General features: G+C 35.7%; 1 protein-coding gene across 18 annotated transcripts in view; it reads right to left on the bottom strand.

The window, feature by feature from the left end:
- Nucleotides 1-387: 387 nt before the first annotated feature.
- Nucleotides 388-22,202, bottom strand: part of CHL1 (cell adhesion molecule L1 like) — a 212,655-nt gene continuing 190,840 nt past the window's right edge. For 13 of the 18 annotated variants that reach the window (XM_017005566.2, NM_006614.4, NM_001253387.2 and 10 more), the window contains 9 exons: nucleotides 20,331-20,553; nucleotides 18,989-19,104; nucleotides 18,646-18,850; nucleotides 18,008-18,130; nucleotides 14,933-15,112; nucleotides 11,420-11,578; nucleotides 10,657-10,788; nucleotides 8,107-8,179; nucleotides 388-4,310 (listed from right to left, as the gene is read on the bottom strand). In XM_017005566.2, the coding sequence (XP_016861055.1) occupies nucleotides 4,094-4,310; nucleotides 8,107-8,179; nucleotides 10,657-10,788; nucleotides 11,420-11,578; nucleotides 14,933-15,112; nucleotides 18,008-18,130; nucleotides 18,646-18,850; nucleotides 18,989-19,104; nucleotides 20,331-20,553 (1,428 nt within the window). In that variant the 3' untranslated portion in view covers nucleotides 388-4,093. The remainder of the gene's footprint in view (nucleotides 4,311-8,106; nucleotides 8,180-10,656; nucleotides 10,789-11,419; nucleotides 11,579-14,932; nucleotides 15,113-18,007; nucleotides 18,131-18,645; nucleotides 18,851-18,988; nucleotides 19,105-20,330; nucleotides 20,554-22,202) is intronic. The other 5 variants (XM_017005572.2, XM_017005573.2, XM_011533296.2 and 2 more) reach the window with 1 other exon arrangement.

Raw genomic sequence — 22,202 nt, 5'->3', positions numbered from 1 at the left:
TAGATTGTCCCCTGAGCCAAAGTGGGTAACCCAATTCTAAAAGACCATATCAAAATTATCTACTAGCCTCATTGAAAATATAGCATATCGGACATTTTCTTGAAAAGTGACATTTCTACATTTTTATTAAAAATGACCAGATAAATATACATTCACCTTAAATTTATATTTATTATAAATATAAATTTTATTGTAATATTCTTTTTTATAGATGATGATATTGTATATTTATAAAGTAATTGAAATCAAAATATTTTATTTATCTTATTTTTACTTTATTAAATTATACTTCATTTATAGATATTCCAGGATCAGAGGCAACTGAAGTAGTTAAGATTAATATGTAAATTCTGATTCTTCTTAACTATATAGAACAGAATACAAACATTTTTGGATTACATGAAGTAGAACTTTTATTTGGAAAGTTGAATTTCATGTATAATGAAAATATTTTCAAACCATACATAGTCATAAGCATAATACAAACACCACCTACAATACAAACACGTTTTATAAAGTTCTACTATGAATATTAATCCAAGCCAAAAGAAAAAGGTAATCACGTGAACCTGTTCTACATACCTTTCATCTCTTTTGATGACGTAATCGAACAATTTAAGGTACAAAACAAAGAAAGCTTTGGCTGAACCCTACTTATTTCACTATAGGAACACTAGGATATATACTACCACAGATAACAAACCCAATCCCATTATAATTAATTTAACATTGTTACATGAATCATATCTTAATGGTATGTAAACATATTTAGGGTTTCAATTGGCAATTATGTTTTAAATGCTTAGAAAAGCACACCAACATTTCTCATTATTGTCCCCTCTTTAGCTTATCTCTTCCATGAGTATAAAATAGGAAAAAAATATTATTTGAGACTTCCAGCATAATTCCATTGTGCTCTACATTTTTACAAACACGGGTGCATCTAAAATATCAATGCCTTTATACCGATAGAATAAAACCACCAAATTCACATTTTTCTTATAAATACGCATGCAAAATTAGTGGAAAACACTTTTGTATAGCAAAGACCCTGCTTAATTTTCTTCTGATTAATAATTTTCAATGGCATGTACAAATCATACTGCTCACTAAACAGTAGATTTATTTTATGTAGATTTGTTTTTCTATAAAAATATATTTATGTGTTCACAGGAAAAAAGTTGAGTTGGTATGTGGGGGTGACTTTCAGATACATAATTAGTTAAAGGTTTGCTTATGAAGTTAGAAGGCATCTTAGCTTTTATCATTTTCAAATTTTTCTTCATAAAAAAGAACACCCTGTGACAAAGATAAGGTAACTGAGATTATTATTAGCACTTTAGAGTTGAGAGAGTTTGAAATAAAAAGGTTAAGCAACCTGCCTAATGTTTATGTACAAAATCAGTGCTGGAACCAGGAAGAGAATTTGGATTTTCCCAACCCTTGGACAGTTCTCTAGGAACTCATGCCCACCAACCATTCTTGAGACTATATACAATCAATTACATTAAAATGATATTGACAGTAGACTAGAGAAAGTTAGGGTAAAGCCAGTAACGAACAAAGTTTTAAATATTGGCTGTTGACTTATCACGAGTGGGCAATTTGCAAACAAGCATCACCAATTTATAATTACCATTGCACGCCGTGGACTCTGTTACTCATTTTCTGAGGGAAAATCATGAAATCCATTTTAACCGACTTAGATTTATTTTATTTGAAGGTTATTCTGATTCATAAAATATATGAATCATATAATTTCACAATTAAAATCAGGGTCAATCATAGATCTATTCCTTTTGTGCTGAAGAGTCCCAGTAGTTGCCAAATAGTATTGAGGAAAGGTAACAATGATAGCAAAGCATAGTCATCATTCAATCTCATTTTTCATATCCATAAGTTTTAGCCACTCAGAAGATCTGAGCAGGAGCAATCTTGATTTTCAGGCAGCTAAAGGGGAACACGAAGTGTAGGAAGAGCTAATATTTCAGTATTTGTTTTAGTTTCTGACTTAAAGGTTATTAAATTCCTAAATATTTTTGACATTATTTCTAACCTGCATGACTCTCTTTAAAAACCACGTTTTGGCTGATGACAAAGAAGAGGAGACAGAATAACACCAGAACTAAGCTCGAACGTCACAACCTTGCCCTCCTCACAAGCTGTGCACCACAGTTTTCTCCCAGATAAATCAAAACATGATGACTGTCCCTCCAGAAAACTGGAACCTTAGAAATCGGAGGAGGATGGAGCTCGAGTTGCACTGATGGATGTCTACATCCTCACATTCACACAGGGTAGGGACCACACTGCCTTCCCCCTTTGAAATGCTTACTCCCGGGACTGCGGTCAGATCCTGAGCCCATAAATTACAGTTTTAAATAAGACATGCTTTTCCTGTCTATACATTCTGGATGACTCGTGAGGTTCAAAAGGACAAGTAGATATTCCATGTGCATTCCTGCGCTGACTATTATAAATACCCCAAATTTTGGTCTCCATGAACTATAAGGGGTTACCATAAATCCAAGTTGAGGATATAACAGTATACCAATAATCACAGTTCAAAAACTAAAGTGAAATAAGTCAATTCACTTAAACAGTAGTTAAGTATTTCGTGGTAAGGTTAAAAAAATCTTTCCATAAAATGTCGAGCGCTGAACTTGACCGACATGTATGCATCATCCTCCATATTGTTTCTAAAACATGTTCATGTACAATTTTAAAAGGACTGGAGCACAACTGCCAGAAAATAAATTCCCTGAATTTGTTCTGACTTTGACAGAAGGAGAATATCGGGGAAAAAATTCTCACCACAAAGATGTTTAAAATAACATATACGCAAACGTATGTGTAGGAATTTCTATGTAAACAGTTTTTCTTTTGAGGGGCTGGGGTAGATGTACATTCAACAATAAAAACCTATTTTGAAAAATATGAAAACATTTCCCTCAATATTTATATGATATTTTATTTTGAAACTGTTGAAAGAAAGCAATACAAGAACAAAACCCAAATACTTTATACAAAGTCTTCAGCTTTGGAACCTCGTGTTATTAGTTGTAGCTCTGGAATGACGAAAAACAGTATCTTACTAATATATTCTAGCTGTACAAACATGCCTGTTAATGTTCATTTTCTCACTTCAAAATAAAACACATCTATATTTTAAATTGTGTAAATATTAACATAATATGTACAATGTATTCATGAAATATATGCAAGCATACCATTATATAAACATGAGAAAAAGGTAAAAGCAGTCAATTTAGAAATGAAGATATTAAGTAGATGTAGCTATTAGAATCCTGAACAATGGGCACTTTCTGCCTGTTCTCGTATAAAACAACCTTCTGACCACCGCTTCCATGCAGTTGAATTTAGTCCAAGAAAAAAAAAAAAAACAGACACAAAAAGTGATGCTTGTGGATGTCATAACTGACAGAAATAAAAAAATTCATGTTGAAACTGAAAAACGTATACTTCTGTTTAAATATGACCATCTCTGGGCAAATAGGAGCTCAACAAATACTAGTTGATTGTTCACCTAAGACTTTTGCTAGTAAAATTTAAATAATAAATTTAGACTGTATATTTTCAATGAAGTGTTTTAATAAGACTTTCATATTCCTTTTTACATTTTAAATAACCAGTTTGCTTATGGTCTTTTAACCTGTAGTGAAGCAAAGTCACCAAGCCAGTTCTCAGAGACTGTATACCAATGTGCATACGGAGAAAAACCCACCAAGTAGCAACATCTATGCAAACACACCGAATAGTAAAATCAGGCAAATATGGAATATACTGAATGGGGACTTTGGATTTAGTTGAGGTGTATCTAAATGCAGGATTTGTTTTGTGTTTTGCATTTTGAGCACCTGAAAACAATATAAGCAAAACATAGGCCTGAAGTGCTTGGCATTTTATATTTTGAAGAAAGTACTACTCTTTTCAACATAATTGCAGGATGTTGACTTCTGGATGAAATCTTCGGCCAGCATGTTTCTATTCCTATATGAAAGTTCTTGCTCCTTTGAACAGATAAATATGGAAGGTTGGGGTGAACCAGTAGCGTTGCTTACATATGTTGTGTTTATGCCCGAAGGGGAAAAGTTGCTGTAGAACTTCCATTGCTTTCAACAGATCCCTTCTCCTTAGATCCAGCGTAGGCACCAATAAATGATCCATCTTCACTGAAGAGACCATGGTCTCCCTCTCCGTATTCGACTAAGCTGTCAGCACTTTCAGTAGGCTGCATATCCCTATTAAGGGACCGAAGGCTTCCTTTGAGAGGCTTTTCATCACTGTCACTAGAAAACAAACAAACAAAAATAGCTCAACAAAATCTAATATTAATATTCATGTAAAGCAACACAGTCATAAGTGATAAAAGATTTTATAATTTTCAGGACATTTGTGTTAGCATTGAAGACAGATAGTAAAGCCCACATGATACTACCACAAATGTTTACCAAGTTTACGAAGTCTGTAAACACATGTCTACAAAGTCATAAGCAATTTCCACCAAACAATTTTTCATTATTCACAACATTTGTGCTTCTCTTTAAAATTGAGCAGCTTAGCTTCTGTAGGACATGTGGGATTCAACCTGTTGATGTCCACAGTGGCTGCTATGGTCTGAATATCTGTGTCCTCCCAAGCTTCCTATGTTAAAACCTGATAACCAATGTGAGGGTGTTAGAGGTGGAGTCTTTGGGAAGTGATTAGGCCATAAGGGTGGAACCCTAGTGAATGATATTAGTGCCCTTAGAGAAGAGGCCCCAGAGAGCTGCCCTACCCCTTTCACGATGTGAGGACACAAAGAGAAGGTGCCATCTGTCACCCAGAAAGTGAGCGTTCACCAGACATTGAAAATGCTGGCACTTTGCTCTTAGGCTTCTCAGAATCCTGAACTGTGGGAATTAAGTTTCTGTTCTTTTATAAGCCACCCAGCTTATGGTATTTTGTTATAGTAGCCCTAATGGACTCAGACAGAGAACAAATGCAATTTCCCTTGCTGTCATGAACTTTTGGAGCTCCTGGCCTCCAAGTCTTGATCTTCTGCCTTTACTTCTGATCCTTTTGATTCTCTTATATCCTGATAAAATGTTCTTTTTTAAAAATCAATCACATTCTGTTTTTGAAACCAAATAACTTTCTTTAATATAGTTAACAATTCAAGTTTGTTACATTTTAAGACAGAAAGAAATGGCTGGTATTTTAAGAACATAAATAAGTATACTATATTTATGGTAGGTGTTTTATTCATGAACAGAAGCAAATCCATTAGTGAAATGCTTATCAAATGGTATGATCTTCTAAATTTTGGATCAAGATTTTTTTAAGTACCAATTAGTATTACATTATGAAGCTATACACCATATAAAATGATTTTATCAAATTTGATCAATGAAGCATTTGGAAAAAATATAATTTGGATGTACATATCACTTTATAATTTGTGGTATTTGTCAGAGCTGTTCATCAAGTATGTCAGGTTTCTAGGAATAAAGCAGGATGGCACTTCTTTGCCTACTCTGTGTTATATGCCACCATGGAATTTTCTTTGGTTTAAAAAAAAAGTGAGCAAAGGTGACATGTGTCTCTTCCGAGCCAAAGATTTAAAGCCAGTGCTCAGTTTATTACATTCTATTTTCCCTGCTGTGGGGAGCCTGGATGCTCGTCCACCAGCCAGTGCTCCTAAGTGATTAAGATGAAAAGGGCAATCTCTGTGGGACACATAACTTGAGAAAGAAAATGCTTTTGGAGTTGTTTTGACAGCAGCATAACACAGGCTCCCCTGACTGATACGATAATTGGCTCTTGAATTAGGATATTGCAGTTACAAGAACAAATCAAGAAAAACAATGAGGCATCGGCTGAGGAATCAGGAACAAAGAATAAAGAAAAATAACAAAAGGGATGATTATCAGAAGCTAGAAGAATGAGGACTTATGCAAGGGCACAGCATCTTATAAAAGTGTCTCCTGGGATAATGTGGAAAGTAGACAATTATCCTGATAAATATGTAGTTTGGGGGAAAGAGGTTGGAAAACACATCAGCTACTATAAAGGGATGTCATAGGAAATAATGCACAGGAAGATGTTAGCTATCTTTATAAAGGAGCAGCAGGGTGTGGGGAAATGGGTTTTTAGACAAGGCATTGTTTTTGTTTTCTTGCCTGTAAAATTGAGCTAATATTGTCTTTCAAAATTTTTTTTTGCTTGTTTGTTTGTTTGTGTTTTTGTTTTGTTGTTGAGATGGAGTCTCGCTATGTTGCCCAGGCTGGAGTGCAGTGGCACAATCTCAGCTTACTGCAACCTCCGCCTCCTGAGTTCAAGAAATTCTCCTGCCTCAGCTTTTGAAAAGTTGTTGCAGGTCCTTAATGATCATTGCCTCATGGAATTTGTATCTTGTATAATCCTCTTCCTTTGAGTTGTGAGCTAAACTTAATGATTTGTTCCTATAGAATACAACAAAAGTGATGGGATATCACTTCCAATATTAGGTTACAAAAGGACTGTGGCTTCCAACTTGGGTGCTCTCTCTTGCTCCCTGGCTCACACATTCTGAAGGAAGCCAGCTGCCATGTTGTGAATGGCCCCATGGAGATATCTACGTGGTATGGAGTTAGGAATGACCTCTGGCCTGTGAAGAACAGAAGCCCTTAGTTCAACAGCCTGTATGGAACTATATCCTGCCAACAGCCACACGAATGGCCTAGGAATGATTTGTGCTTTGGCTGAAACTTTAGATGAAACCATAGCCCTGGTCAAAACCTTGCTGCAACCTCATGAGAGGTCCTGAGCCAGAAGTACCCATCTAAGCCATGTCTGGATTCCTGAATTATGAGGACATTGAAATAATAAATGTTTATTGTTTTAAGCTGTTGAGTATTGGTGGTTATTGTTATGAGGCAACTGCTAACTAATACAATAGTAATGATCACAATTCGTGAAGTTCCAAAATTCTTTCTTCCTTTTTCTTTTTCTCTCTTTCTTTCTTTCTCTTTATTGTTCTTTATTCTGGAAAGAATTTAAAGTCATTTATTAAGAAATATAAAAATATAAAAAGGGTATTGACTAAGTAGAATACAGAAAAATAAGTATACCACAAAATGGAGGTACAGGTAAGCCCAAATGTCTACCAATTAGCTAATGAAAATACTCCATATCCCTTGCTAGAGTAATGAATCCAGAGATGAGAGAATCAGGATCAATCAGATTTCTTCTTTAATATAAACTCTGGTTTCCCATGTGCTAAAATCAATACAAACCTGGAACTTACAATATGTCTGTTGGCTGAAATATACAGGAGACCTGAGAAAAATGATGACATTACAACAAAAAAGAACTAAGAAGTTGAGAGAGTAGCAGAAAGGGGAAGGTGGAGAAAGATAAAAGGAGAATGAGACAGTTTAACACGTCCCCGAAAGATTCCTACCTAGCTCAGAGTAGACTTCTTGCCATTCCTCCCTTGCCCGACACACCCTCACTCATTTGGTCATCCTCTGTCCAGTGGTTAACAGTAACACAATACTTTTTATCCTTTAAGGCTTAGCTTATCTCTTATGGATGATTCTTTTTCCAAAATCCTACCTGGGCAGAAACAGTTACTCTCTTTTGTGCTCTTTTATTCTATTTAATTCATTACAGTCATTTGCATATATAGGATATTTTTCTCTGCTGATCAGGTTCATCTAGAGGACAGGGTTTGTAACTTACTTACCTTTGCAGGTGCAACGCTGTAGGTATACAGATATGCGTGTGTGGATGCAAATTGGATTGAACCCGAGTTCATAATGGCCATGCTATAGATGTTTTAGCTACCCCAAATAGATATTCTTTGTGTTAGGCACAGAGCTTCAAGAAAAGTGTCCTACCTGACATTTCTGCCTAGACGGTAATTATTTATACACCCTCATCACACACACAGAAATTTGGTTGCTAGCACTTAAGTGGGCCCTATTTGTACAAAGTATTCTTTATAGGGTCATTACATTGTAGTTATGTAACCTTTTTATTAAGAATAAACACCTTTTTGTTCACTTAAGCTTTCAACATGATGAATATGTGTTTTATTTTACAACAGAACCTTATGTTTACCTGTATTCACCAAAGGTTTCATCTTTTACTGACTGAATTTCTGGGTCTGGATGCAAATCTTCCTTTTCTTTAACTAAAAAAGAGAAAAAAAGTGGGAAAAGTAATACAGTGACCATTTAAAAGACATTTTACCAGTGCTGTGGAATAGTTAATAGTCAGTAAGAACAGCATTGCTCAAATGTTTTGATACCAGTGAGGCAATATTTTTTTCTGGCTATACCTACAGCCCATCAGTTGCTTCTTTGTTTAAACAAAAAAGAGAGGGGATTTTGGGGGGTTCTACTTGTCGTCACACCTGCAGCATGTTGCATATTTTCACGTGACTACTCAATTTTATGTGAACGAGAAGTCTTATTGGAAGAGCCCAACTGAGTTTGATTTCTCAGTGAAGACCAAATTACTAAATATTTATTTTACTATCTGAACTTTTTGAAGATGTCATAGACACCTATTAGATCTGTGTCATTAAACTAAATTGAATTTAAAAAGTCAATCAAGGCTGGATGTGGTGGCTCATGCCTGTAATCCCGGCACTTTGGGAGGCCAAGGTGGGCAGAACACTTTATATCAGGAGTTTGAAACCAGCCTGGGCAACAAAGCAAGACCCTGTCTCTATTAAAAACACAGAAATTAGCCAGGCATGGTAGCATACACCTGTAGTCCCAGCTACACGAGGAGCTGAGGTTGGAGGATCACCTGAGCCTGGGAGGCAGAAGTTGCAAAGAGATGAGATAGAACCACTGCACTCCAGCCTGGGCAACAGAACAAGACCTTGTCTCAAAAAAAAAAAAAAAAAAAGGCAGTCATTTGGTTGTTATACATCACTCTTACTCAAAATTGTTGCAACAATCTGAATATTCAGGTCTCCACTGACATTTTATTTTATTATTACTTTTTTTGAGACAGTCTCACTCTGTCGCCCAGGCTGGAGTGCAGAGGCGTGATCTCGGCTCACTGCAACCTCTGCCTCCCAGGTTCAAGGGATTCTCCTGCCTCAGCCTCCCGAGTAGTTAGGATTTCAGGCAGCCACCACTATGCCTGGCTGATTTCTCTTATTAGTGGAATATAAGACCAAAAAGCTCTTGTTCCCTTTACTTAAAAAAAAAAAAAAAGCCCTCAAATACAAATTGTTCTTCCTGGAACATTTTACGACTACATGCAGAGACCTAGTAGATTCTCTTAGTTGCTCTACAATATGAAATGCTAATTTTTTTTTTCTTTTTAGGGCATGATTTGAAGAAACATCTTTGGAATCTGGATAGCACCACAATACACAAATGATTATCTGTTGGGGATAAGGAGAATGCTATAACTCTTTAACGTTTCCAATTAATTACTCAGAACATTTATTAGTCATTGTGAACTTAATTCATAATCATTCAGTCTTCAGAGAAAAAAGTGAAACGCATAACTCCATAAATTATGCATGTCATTTTACAAAAACCTAGAAATTATGCTCTCAATGTTTCTATGTAGATGACGGGTTCCCAATAAATATTTGCTAGATAAATCATAAGCCAGTAATGAACTTCTCATATATCTGAACATCATGAAACAAATAGCAGTGTAACCTAAATCTTTGTCCCTTTATAAAAGCATCATGAATACTAAGCAATACTAGTAATAATCATCATCTTGATACAATATGTATATCTGAAAAAGACAAAACAAATTCGGGAGTTGAATGAAATTAAAGGCAAACGTCATATTACCAACTATGATGGTTTTCATGTATATCTTATGTATCATTAATTCAAGAGGCAGTGTGTCTACTACATGCCATGGTAATAAGAAATGCATTCCTAGTAATGATTAACACCAACAAAATTGACCAGTGGAGCCAGTAATATTAGAATGCACTAGTGCGAAAAATATGAGTCATGTATGTCATGCATAGAGAGAGGCGTGCTATACATGGGTCACTTCTTAAAACACTAAAGCATATATGTGACCTAGTGATATGTCTCTCAACGACGCTGATATTTTACAGATAGACAATAGAAGCTTGGAAGTGTTATCAACCTTGTTAGAGCCTATTTTTTATTTTTTATTTTTTTGAGATGGAGTTTTTGCTCTTGTCGCCCAAGCTGAAGTACAGTGGCATGATCTCAGCTCACTGCAAACTCCACCTCCCGGGTTCAAGTGATTCTCCTGTCTCAGCCTTCCGAGTAGCTGGGATTACAGGCAGCTGCCACCATGCCCGGCTAATTTTTGTATTTTTAGTAGAGACGGGGTTTCATCATGTTGGCCAGGATGGTCTCGATCTCCTGACCTCATGATCCGCCCACCTCGGCCTCCCAAACTGCTGGAATTACAGGCGTGAGCCACTGCGCCCGGCAGTTAGAGCCCATTTTAAGTGCTAGAAACTAGAACATACATATTTTCTTTGGTTAATTTAGCAATACGTTTTTCCTGTCAGTGCATTGTACATCTAACTTGCTAATATAAATTTGACTTGAATGTGTATTTTTAAAAAAAGTTGTCTCTGAAGAATGCTTCCCAGAAAATGCTTTTTAATAAGTTGAAAATCACATTAAGAAACAATTTTACCTGAGTACTTTCCACCTCTATTCCTCTTCACAAAGCAAACAGTTAATAATAGTAGTGTGAGAAGAGCAATCGCACACATCAGTCCAATAAACCAGCCTTGAGTGGAGATGTCATCATATAAACCAGCATATTCTGTGGTAGAAAGAGAAGTCACAGCATTGTAAACTAGAAACAGTCTTTTGTATTCTGTAACATTGGGGAAAATTAGACATCATTTTTAAACATACCAAATAGTATCAGTTTTTTTAATGACCCCAGAAGGAATGCAATTTGAAGGACATGTTAATGGGAGAATACTGGTAAATCTTTCCTTCTTTATTTAAAAAGGGACTTCTTCGAGTTGTGTTTGATTCCGAGGATGAAAAACCAAAGAAGGATAATGAAGGCAGATGAAGTTAAACTCAGAAGCAGCAAGGAGCAAACAAAAGCGCAAGCTGCCTTGGTTAGAAGCAGATGACCATGGAGACCGGTGGTTTTTGTTTTGTTTTGCTTTTTCTTTTTAGTTTGTGTTATTAAGATATGTTAATTAGCAGGAGATATTTTTAGGCAACAACTCTAGTAAAAACAAAATAAAGGATGGTGGACTACTGTGAAACATTTTTCATTTTGATAATTTAAAAATATGTCAAAACAAATTGAAATTACGATTTTCATAATTAATACACTCAGTGTTTTTATGTTTAATATAGGACACAGGCAACACTAAGTATTCTACAGGACATAGATTGACTAAGACTTCCCCAAATATAATCTCATTTCTCACCTCTCCCTCTTGTCTCAATTACATCTTGAAAAATGCTATCATTATCGCCCCAATTCTTAGTCATTAGGCGAACTATATGTTCAGCTCCCGGCTCAAATACCTCTATTGGGTGAGTCTTTTGAGTAAGATTTACTCCTGATATCTTCCCGATACCTTTACCTAAGAAATGTACACAGTTAAATCATGTGAATTGTAATCATGGAAAAACAGGACATAAAAAAATATTGTTGTTAGAGGTGAATAAGAAAGTCACTTATACCATATTTTCTCAGATAGTTTTTGAATTACCAGGAGATCAAGAAAATCAACATTTCAACTTTCTTTTTTAATATAATGAAATTGAGTAAATGAAATGAACTCAATGCATGGCCATTTAAGATGAAATGGTACTGTAAATCTGCCTGGTCACATGAATGGTTCAAAACCACAGACTTAAAAAAATTATACAATATAATTTTGTGCAATTTGGATTTTCGCAAACCTAATGCGAAACTGAATATGGCCTTTTGACTTATAATTGACAGCACATAACCTTATAATCGTAACTAACTATATATTGCTTTTTTTTGCTTTGGTCTTCTCCATAAACACTGATGAAATAGCATTAAAATATGGTCATATATTAAATATTTGAAATTTATAGAAGTCCAAACTACGTGAAATGCAGGCTTGCAGGTACATACCAATGGAATGGTTTTACTGACATTTTGAAAGTGGTGTGAGAAGTTAATACTTTTCAAAAAATATTAATATGTCAATATGTTAATAGTAGAATCTCATAGTAGAAGATAAAATGAATCAAGTTGAACAAAAATATGTTAACTTCTTGTCTTACCACCAAATATCTTAAATATTTTTGCATGTGATCCACAGCTTTGCTGGGAATCAACTCAATATAATAAACATAACCCAGAAAATGTTAACAATGATATAAAATATGTTTCTTACTGAGACTACAAGGGGTTATGAAATGCTATTTTAAGTGGGTATATGTTACAGATCAATATTTCATTATGTATTTTCACTATAAAATAAAAATTAATTATATAGTTACTAAATAACAAAAAGGTTTTATTAAAAATGACACCATGAGAGAAATAAGGCCAATTATATGAGCAAAGCCTTCAAGATTAAGCGTCATTGAAACAGAGTGCAATTAATTTTGACCTTGAAAAACAGAGATATTAGTATAACATTAAGTAGTGCAAGCTTTTGAAAAATAGAGTAAAGCAAGTGATTTATTCAAACCGCTAATGACACAAAAATAATATTTCTGATTAACTCCATCTTTTCCCCTCTTAGATTATGGAATATGATTTACTTGGAAATCAGAGTGAAAACAATCAGAGAAAAATACTTGTCAATCAAATCCTATTTTTTGAACAAATGCCAAATGACCTTGAAATGAGCTATATAGGCAGAGCAAGAAGAAAGATGCATAGCAGTAGGTTCCTATTTGCACAAGTGATCATTTTTAGAGTGCTGACTGATAACAAGATGTATCTCTCCTCATTGGAAATATATATTTTTTTCAAAGATCATGTTGAACTCTAGTAGAAAAAGAGATTGTAATTTTTTTCCCTGTACTTATAGCAAGACATGCCTATAGAATAGAAATCAGTGTCAACTCGGGAAGGGGGCAGTTAGCTGGAATACTGAAAATGTGGATTCCTGAAAAAGAGCACAAACACACCAGTAAGAAACATTTTTAAATTCCTGACACATACGACAGTGAAGAAATGTTCTTTAAGACATGCAGCACATTAGTTACATTTTTAGTTTAAAGAAAAGATGCCACATCACCTGTAAAATCACATGAACAGCACTTTCATCCTCCAAAAACAATTTCTCAAGCACGAATGCAACCAAGCCCAAATTTCGCAACATATATACTAGAATGTGTAACACTTGTCAGGCAATTCTGTGAATATTTTTTCTCATGTGCTTCCAATTGGTAAGAATGGGATCAGCATTTCACATGCACATTATGGTCTTGGTTATATCAAAATAGCAACCAACTCCATGCCTTAAATTCTGTTTTTAAAAATATGGCAGTTGCATGTTTGGACTACTACCACTCTGACTTCTCTTTGTATTGGACACTTGATGTCAGTTCCAATGCTTCAGACATAAGAACCTTTTAGTTACTGGGAAGTTTCCAATCCCCATCTTTAAGTCTAACTTTTATGAGTAGGTAAAGTCAGTGAAATTAGTTCTTCATTTCACTTGGTGTTCAATTCATCCCTGGGAATACTTTGTGAGTTTTAGGGAAGTAATTATTTGGATTATACAATTTTCCCACATAAAGGGCTTTTAAATGTTTAAGGAATCTGAGAAAAACGTAAGCTTGTTATTAGTTAGATATAGTAGGCACAATAAGATGTAAAAACAAACCAATATTAAAGGTCAGAGCATAACCATTCACACACAAACACGGTGATTTACAGTCACTCACAAGCTTGAATATATTTTAATATACATCTTCAATAAATAATAGGCAACTGCATTTTCTCTACTATTTTTCCCCTCTGTGATGTTTCTTTCATTGATTCTACCGTTTTTCTAATCTACAACTTGGAAAAGCATCCAGAACACAGTCTGACACATAGTATTAGATTGGTGCAAAAGTAAGTGCGGCCTTTGCCATTACTACTTTTAATGGAAGGGCCACAATTACTTTTGCACCACACTTAATACATGATAAATAAACAACTCTATTTCCCTTTCTGCCATCTTCTACATCCTTCTTTTCTTTCTCCAATATCCTTCCATGCCTGAACAGCCTAAGCCCTACATAAATCTCTCTCTGTTTCACTTCGTGTGTACATCAGTTCCTCTGACCTGATTTCTCTGCAAAGGTCCTGTTGCTATCATAGAAAGCTTAGCAAGAACCTCACTAAAATCATAACTGGAGATGCAATTTGGGAAAGGAAATGGTTAAAGGTAGAAAAAAACAGAAAAGTGTAATTGAATTAGGATAATTGTGTTACAAGTGAAACCATACATTTATAAGCCATTTCCCAGACAGTTGCTTGGCATCCATCATCAGACAGTAAAACAAAATTGACATATGAATCAATGTATATAGAGTGAAGGCATGAAAGTGAGATGTATTAGATCTGTAATGTCTACCAATGGAAGAGCCAAATATTTTTCTGTATGGAAACATTTCTAAAAGAAAAACGTACCTTTACTAACCTTTTGAATAGCTTTGTGACCTTATGTCCTGCTACTTTAATTAAGTAAAATTATAGTTCCTGACCTTGTATACACTAAGCTATAATTTGATTGGTATTGCGCAGAAATCCATAAATTGAGTCAGTGTGAACTTTCCAAACAGATTAATAAATTCTGCCTCTATGTCAGTGGAAAACAGAAGGTCAGACAGAGTGGGATCACAATCATTTCTAATTTACAATGACTGGCACGGTGCTTTCCTTTCAGTGCAGCTGTTTAAAAAGATGCAGTCTCTTTTTAAAGCCTCTATTAAAAAGAGAAGCCTCATGTACTTACTCCCTTCTCCTAAGGTGGAGCTTTCCTCCGTGATCGGTTTTCCACAGCCCTGTGAAGTGCAAGCCCTCAAGTAGAATTTGTACTTGGTAGTTGCATTCAGGTTTGAGAGGTGCCAGCTGGGCTTTGATGGAGTTGTAATGTTAATATCATTTAATTCTCCAATCTCGTAGGTGTCATTTACTAAAAAAATAAACATGAACAACAGCTCAAATGTATTTAACCATTCAAGTTGCATTCTTCATTATTTTCATTTCTCCTTATGCTTGTGGTACGTAAAGATACATTAATGATTCATAACCATCAACTCATTTAATCCTATGAGGTACATACAACTACTATGACTATATCATATATGACAAAACTGAGGTCTCGCAAGAATAAGCCCTTTGCTCCCATCTTGGGTCTCTAAATTTGCAGACTGGGATTTGAATCCAAACCATGGCCTTTTGACCCCAGAGAAACGTCTTTAATCCCTGTGCTATATTGGAGCCAGCTGCTCCAGCTTCATAATACGCATTAATAATAATGAATTTTCCCCATTGCTATATTTTCATTGTATCTTTGACTTAAGTATTATAATTTCCTTTTGGAAGAATAATTGAGATGATAATTTATTTGTGTCTTCTATGGTTTCTAGTTTAACATGTGGCACCAAATAGCTACTCAGTATACATAGAATCAATAAATGAAGGAATATATTAAATATTTAAGAATATCTACTGTGTACTAAGTACTATGTAAAGTGCTCACTGTAAAAAGCTGAATCAGATAGACAGCTTCTTTCAAAGAATTTGGAACCCAGCAAAGACATGAGATTTGTGTAAGAGTATGGAGTATTATAAGATTACTGTAACAATAGTCCAAGAGATGAAATACACCCAAGATAGTGCAGCTGTTAGTGGCAAGAAGGAATGTAGAATAAATCCTCTTGACTCCCAGTCCAAGATACCATAGAGGTTAAAAAAATGCATTTATTATTGACATAAAAATGCCTTCCTTGGTCCATAAAAATGCAATTCAAATCAATGAAAAGAAAAAACAAACAAACTAGGCATTCAAACATTGGAAAGAAGGAGGTGAAATCATCACTTTTTTAGATTTTTTGAACACATAATTGTGAATGACCACAAAGTCAATTGAAAAACGACTACAATCAATATAAGAATTCAGGAGAGTATACATAGAGCTCTCATACATATAAATTGCAACAATTTAAAATATCTAAAAGCAATAAGAAAAAGGTAAACTACCTAAAATGTCTTGATCAATTAATATTAATAGAAAGCAAAATAATTATATATTATTTTATTTTAAAATACACATATCAAGCAGTTCAATAATCATTACAATTGTTAATATTTCAACTTCTATATTCTAAGAACTTGTTTTTAAATAAACGTAAATGTCACATACGGATCAATATGAAGGTGGGAATTTAATTAGTTGAGTTTCCTATTGTTAGGATAAGGAGAAGTTATATCTTTACCAAACAAATTGACATTTAAAAGAATCTTAAAATATTTCTGCAGTTCTTACAATTTTTTTGAAAACCAGTTCATCGACTAATATAAGGTTAAGAGCTCAACATCTAGAATTGGACTGATCTTGCTTTGCATTCTTAACACTTTTTTTTTTTTTTTGAGACGGAGTCTGGCTCTGTCGCCCAGGCTGGAGTGCAGTGGCTCCATCTCAGCTCACCGCAAGCTCTGCCTCCCGGGTTCACGCCATTCTCCTGCCTCAGCCGCCCGAGTAGCTGGGACTACAGGGGCCCACCACCACGCCTGGATAATTTTTTGTATTTTTAATAGAGACGGGGTTTCACCGTGTTAGCCAGGATGGTCTCGATCTCCTGACCTCGTGATCCACCAGCCTCGGCCTCCCACTTAACACTTATTTTACTACTTGACTCTGATGTACATCAATTCCCTCATTCATAAAATAGTGATAGTACATTTCTAATAGATTTCTTATTTTAATGGCACAATGCAAAGAGATACACTTAGTATTGATCCTGCTACTTAGCAAGCACGTAAAAGTGCTAAAGTCTACTTCCGTTGGGATTATGCCTGTATGTATTTAAACATACGTGCTAATTTCAGCAGAAACCATCAGAAACTAAAGCAAATACGTGACCTGGATTGCTGGAAGTCTTGAGCTGATGTGAAAGTAGCACAACAGGACTATGATCAAGTTGACTAGTAAGCAGTGTGTGCTGGGTCTCTGTATTTCTGGTGTTTTGGGAATTGATGTCTTGAAAGCCTAAAATTTTCATGATGGGTTGTTGATAAAATTTTCTATAATGTCAATCCCCGAATTTCCATTTTGAGATGATGCTTAAACTTGACGACTGTTTCAGAGGGAACGCGCTGCTATTAAAAACGACCTGATCTCATCTAAACACATTCACGTTACTCTAGTCGCACAGCAGCATCTGGGCAGAGCCCATTCTGAGTCATGATCCAAAGACAATTATTTAGTCCTTGCAATATCATCTCCATGAAACAGTGAGCAACCCATAGACATTGGATAAACACAAGCATATTTAGGATTGAGTCTGGGAGCATATATCTGAGGCAGAAGAGGTAGCGTGGAAGGTACCTATGCTTTGAATCTCCATCACATCACTCAATAACTCTTTCACATGTTTCCTACTTCTCCAAACATCTTATATATAAACATTAAACACGTGTTTTGTGTACCCATCAGCACACTGCTTTTTTTCTAAAACAGGTAAGCAAACCTTTCATTAAAGGGCCAGACGGTAAACATTTAGCCTTTGTAGGCTGTGTAGTCTCCATTGAGATGACTCAACTTTGCCACTCCAGGGAGAAAGTAGCTGTAGACATATATAAATAAGTGGACATGGCCATGTCGTCATAAAACTTTATTCCTAAAAACAGGCAGCAGGCTGAATTTGGCCTGCAAGCCAGTTTACAGACCCCTGGGCTACAAGGAAGAACGGCAGCTTACAAACCATGGCCTTAAGTGATCATTAGACTCCCAACATAGCACAGAGAATATTCAACCAAAAAATGAAACATTAACAAGTTAACTCCAATTCAAATTTCTACTTACTTATCTGATATTGCAAAAGATAGCCAGTTAAGTTTCCATTTAATTTCTTAGGTAGTCCCCAAGATAAAGTGGCAGTGTCTTTATCAACTTTGATGACCTTTAGAAAAGTTGGCTGTTCAGGTACTAGAAAACACAAGACCAAAAATAAACTCACATCAATTAGAAAAATTCAAAAAAGCCTTATTATATTATAAATTTTATAGAAATTGACAAGCAAACTCATCTGAAGTAAATATTAATTAACTACTAATAAGGAATAATGTTTATTTATTTATTTTTTTGAGACAGAGTCTCACGTGGCCCAGGCTAGATGGAATGCAGTAGCCCAATCTTGGCTCATTGCAACCTCCGCCTCCCGGGTTCAAGTGATTCTCCTGCCTCAGCCTCCCGAGTAGCTGGGACTACAGGCATGCACTACTACATCTGGCTAATTTTTGTATTTTTGATAGAGACAGGATTTCATCATGTTGGCCAAGCTGGTTTGGAACTCCTGACTTCAAGTGATCCATCTGCCTTGGCCTCCCAAAGTGCTGGGATTTACAGGCATGAGCCACTGTGCCTGGCCATAAGGAAGAATGTTTAATATGGCCATGGATCACCTCCATTTTTGACATGACTCTACATCATTATCCTCTCACCTCCTTCTGGTGTTTGAAATATATAAGGCTCACTTTCAGGACCAGCTCCTTTAGAGTTATAGGCTAAGACTGTTAAATGAAATTCACTAAAGGCATCTAAGGAAGGAACCATTCCAGAGTTTCTTTGTCCTGAAAATCTTAGAATGTTCACTTCTTTGGGATGTGTTCTTCCATCCAACAGACTTTTTGTTTTCCACCAATTTATCTGCAATGAAAACCAAAATCTTTTAGTATATCCATTGTGGTCGCAGATTCTCTTTGACTTCTTCTGAAATCAATTCTTCTTTATTCTCAGGAAAGATACCAATTCAACAAGAAGAGGAAAAACCATGATGATAAAAACCTGATAGCCTTTCAGACGTCCATGTACTCTGTCCTTTGGAACTGTTGACCAGGTAACTTTAACTAATGTACTGTTTATAACGTCCACCCCATGGATCACTGGAGCTGTATCAGGATCTGTTAATCATAGAAGATTGATTAGTTTTCAATAACCTGCAAATGTGATTGTTAGGATCCTTTTCAAAAATTTTCATAATGTTTCTTCTGGAGAAAGCACTTTTGTGAAATTCACTCCAAATGGAACCAAAAGAGTTTCTCATGATAGATAAGTTTATCAGCCCAAATAGATTTCCCAAAGAAGAGGACAGACTGTATCACACTGAGAAACAAAGCCCTCCAGATAGATACAATGTGGATAAATAAAACCAGAAACTATTCTGTGGGCATCTTGCCTTTGGAAGCAAGTGAATTAAACTAGTAATATAAATAAAATTGGTCAGGAATTTTGTTAATCAAATATTAATAACAGCTAACATTTGAGCATATGCTATGTGTCAGGCACTGTTCTAAGGGACTTACCTAAATTGGTTCATACAACCCTGTGAAGAGGATATTATTATCTCTGTTCTACAGGAGTTCTTACTACAGAGTAATAAGCCAAATACAGAGCAGTCAAGGCTAATACTATCTTAATTCACTTGTGATATGTGTTTTGTGTGCTTTTATTTGGGTAGAAGAATTTAGACGGCAGGTGAGTAATGAGTTGGCTATTTCTCATTCTGAACCTTTTCTATTTTTGGATCAAATTATTCCTTTAGATGCTGGAAAGGCAATGAGAATAACCCCTAATATTATTCACAGTATTAGCAATACAGAATGCAGTGTTTTTTTCTTCTTCCAATAACCTATTTGCAGCAGTTACTATGGCATCAGAAGGTGTGTGTGCATATAATTCTACATATAAATCTGGGTATATATCTCATCAGTATTAGGAAAGCTCCAGACATGCCACTGAAGCCCAGGGCATGAGAGCAAGTGGCTCTTAGGGGATCCTTGACAAGTAAGGGCAAAGGGCAGATGTACTTGAAAATCTTATGACAGTTATGCTGCTTTAAATGATTGCAGTGATAATTCCAGGTCTTCAATTTTCAATGTAGAAAGAGCTTTATAGGAAACTGAATAAAATGAAAACTTTCAACATACTTCCTTGGTACTCTATACGATCAACTGTCCTACAATCAATCCTAAGATAGAAGTCATGTGTTATATTTGTTTTTATCTCCCACGGCTAGTACATCCTCTTTGCATGCAGTAGTTGTTCACAAATATTTGTTGATTGAAGTACAATATATTTGAAAGCAACAGTTACTGACGTGCTTAGCAGTTTTAGGTGCATCACTTACAGTCTTCTCCAGAATAGAGAGTCACTGACTGAGGGTCAGGCCCAGATCCTAGTTGATTGATAGCCTGGACCTTGACATCATAAGGGGCATAGACAGCAGGCGTCATCACCCGCAATGTGTGGTTTGTGACTGTTTCTTCTTCCCACTCCACTGGGGCTCCCTGTGGCTTCCAGGTCACTCTGTACTCTAGGCCTGGTCCATTCTGCTCCATGGATTTCAAAGGCTAAAACAGAAGGCAAGACTCATTTAGTCTGATCACAGATGTGTTGACTCAGAGATGATGGTGAACCACCCTAAGTGGAATAAGGAACAATGTAATGAAATGGTCATTTGTTGAGAGATCTTAAATCCCCCTTCTTGGTTTAGAGACAGTTGTGAAAAAGTTTTGTCATCATATGAGCTTAAGTATGAAAATTAATCCCTTAACTCCCCAAGTAACGAGAAGCCTACAATCAGATGCCTGGATTATGTCCTCATGGTAAAGTCTTAAGTTTTTACACACGAAGGAAGTTACAAAGAAATTCCACAAAGTGTTTTAGCTTTTTGCTTATGCTTTCCACTACATTCCGCCTTTTCATTTTCAAAGAACAGGCTGAAATAAAAAATAATATGGCCACGAATTCTTTGGTTGTGAATGGGATTCTCCCATGGCTTTTTGAAGAGAACTCTTTCTTGCACCTGGTTCTATCCTTCTCCATTTTTCTTCTATAAGAAGAGAGAGATCATGTAAATATTTTTGGAGAATATGAATGTTCATATTTTAATACAAAAAAACAGTAGCTCCTCTTTCTTATAATTTCCCAGCTCCTTGACCATTCTTTATTTTTCTTTAAGAAAAAATGTCACCCTTACCCACTTTATTTTTCTCCATAGAAATATTTGGAGGAATAACTTTTTTTTTCGTTTCTTTTTTTTTTTTTTTTTCTTGAGACGGAGTTTCACTCTTGCTGCCCAGGCTGGATTGCAGTGGTGTGATCTCGGCTCACGGCAACCTCCATCTCCCGGGTGCAAGCGATTCTCTTTCCTCAGCCTCCTGAGTAGCTGGGATTACAGGCATGCACCACCACGCCCGGCTAATTTTGTATTTTTAGTAGAGACAGGGTTTCTCCATGTTGGTCAGGCTGGTCTTGAACTCCCAACCTCAGGTGATCCGCCTGCCTCGGCCTCCCAGAGTGCTGGGATTATAGGCATGGGCCACAGCACCCAGCCTGGAGGAATAATTTCTAGTATGGGAAATTGTTTATTTCCACTTTAGTTTTTAATTGAGCAACACTTTAATTTAAAAACAATAATGTGGTTTAAACTGCCTGTTTAGCTTTCAAAGATAATGGGATTGTGCATTGAAATGAATCAGTTATATAAAATAAGTTTAAAATACGATTTTAATCCTAAATTTAAGGTTCACTTATATAAACAGTAATTTTCTCTGGATATGTGAGTGAGTCAACAATGTCATACATAGTGTTCTTACAGAATCTGTAATCCTTCTCAACTTAATCTAATTTACTAAAACACTTATTAGAGGCATTGCTTGGAATTAAGTTGAAAGGGTAGTGACATATCAGCAAAATAATTTTAAGTGTATTCCTATTCCAAGGTGAATAAACTAAACTAACTGAGGGAAAAAAAAAATCAAAACAAAATGAAAACTTTCTGAGATTTTCTGCAGACCTTGTTAATACTTGGATTCATTGGAAAGTTTTGCTCCAAGATATTTTAGAGTGTGAAATGGATATAAATTCACCAGGGGCTTTAGCATTGTCCCAGTGAATTAGGCCATGGGCTTGTAGTGCCGTACTGCAATCTGGAATGATAGTTTTCTTCAGTCTCTGCTGACAATAAGTGTGTGCAAATAATATTATTCATTTTACA

Source organism: Homo sapiens, chromosome 3 (assembly GCF_000001405.40).
Source record: "Homo sapiens chromosome 3, GRCh38.p14 Primary Assembly".
NCBI lineage: Eukaryota > Metazoa > Chordata > Mammalia > Primates > Hominidae > Homo > Homo sapiens.
Note: the sequence above shows the minus strand (reverse complement) of the source record. Positions and strands in the feature narration are given on the sequence as shown.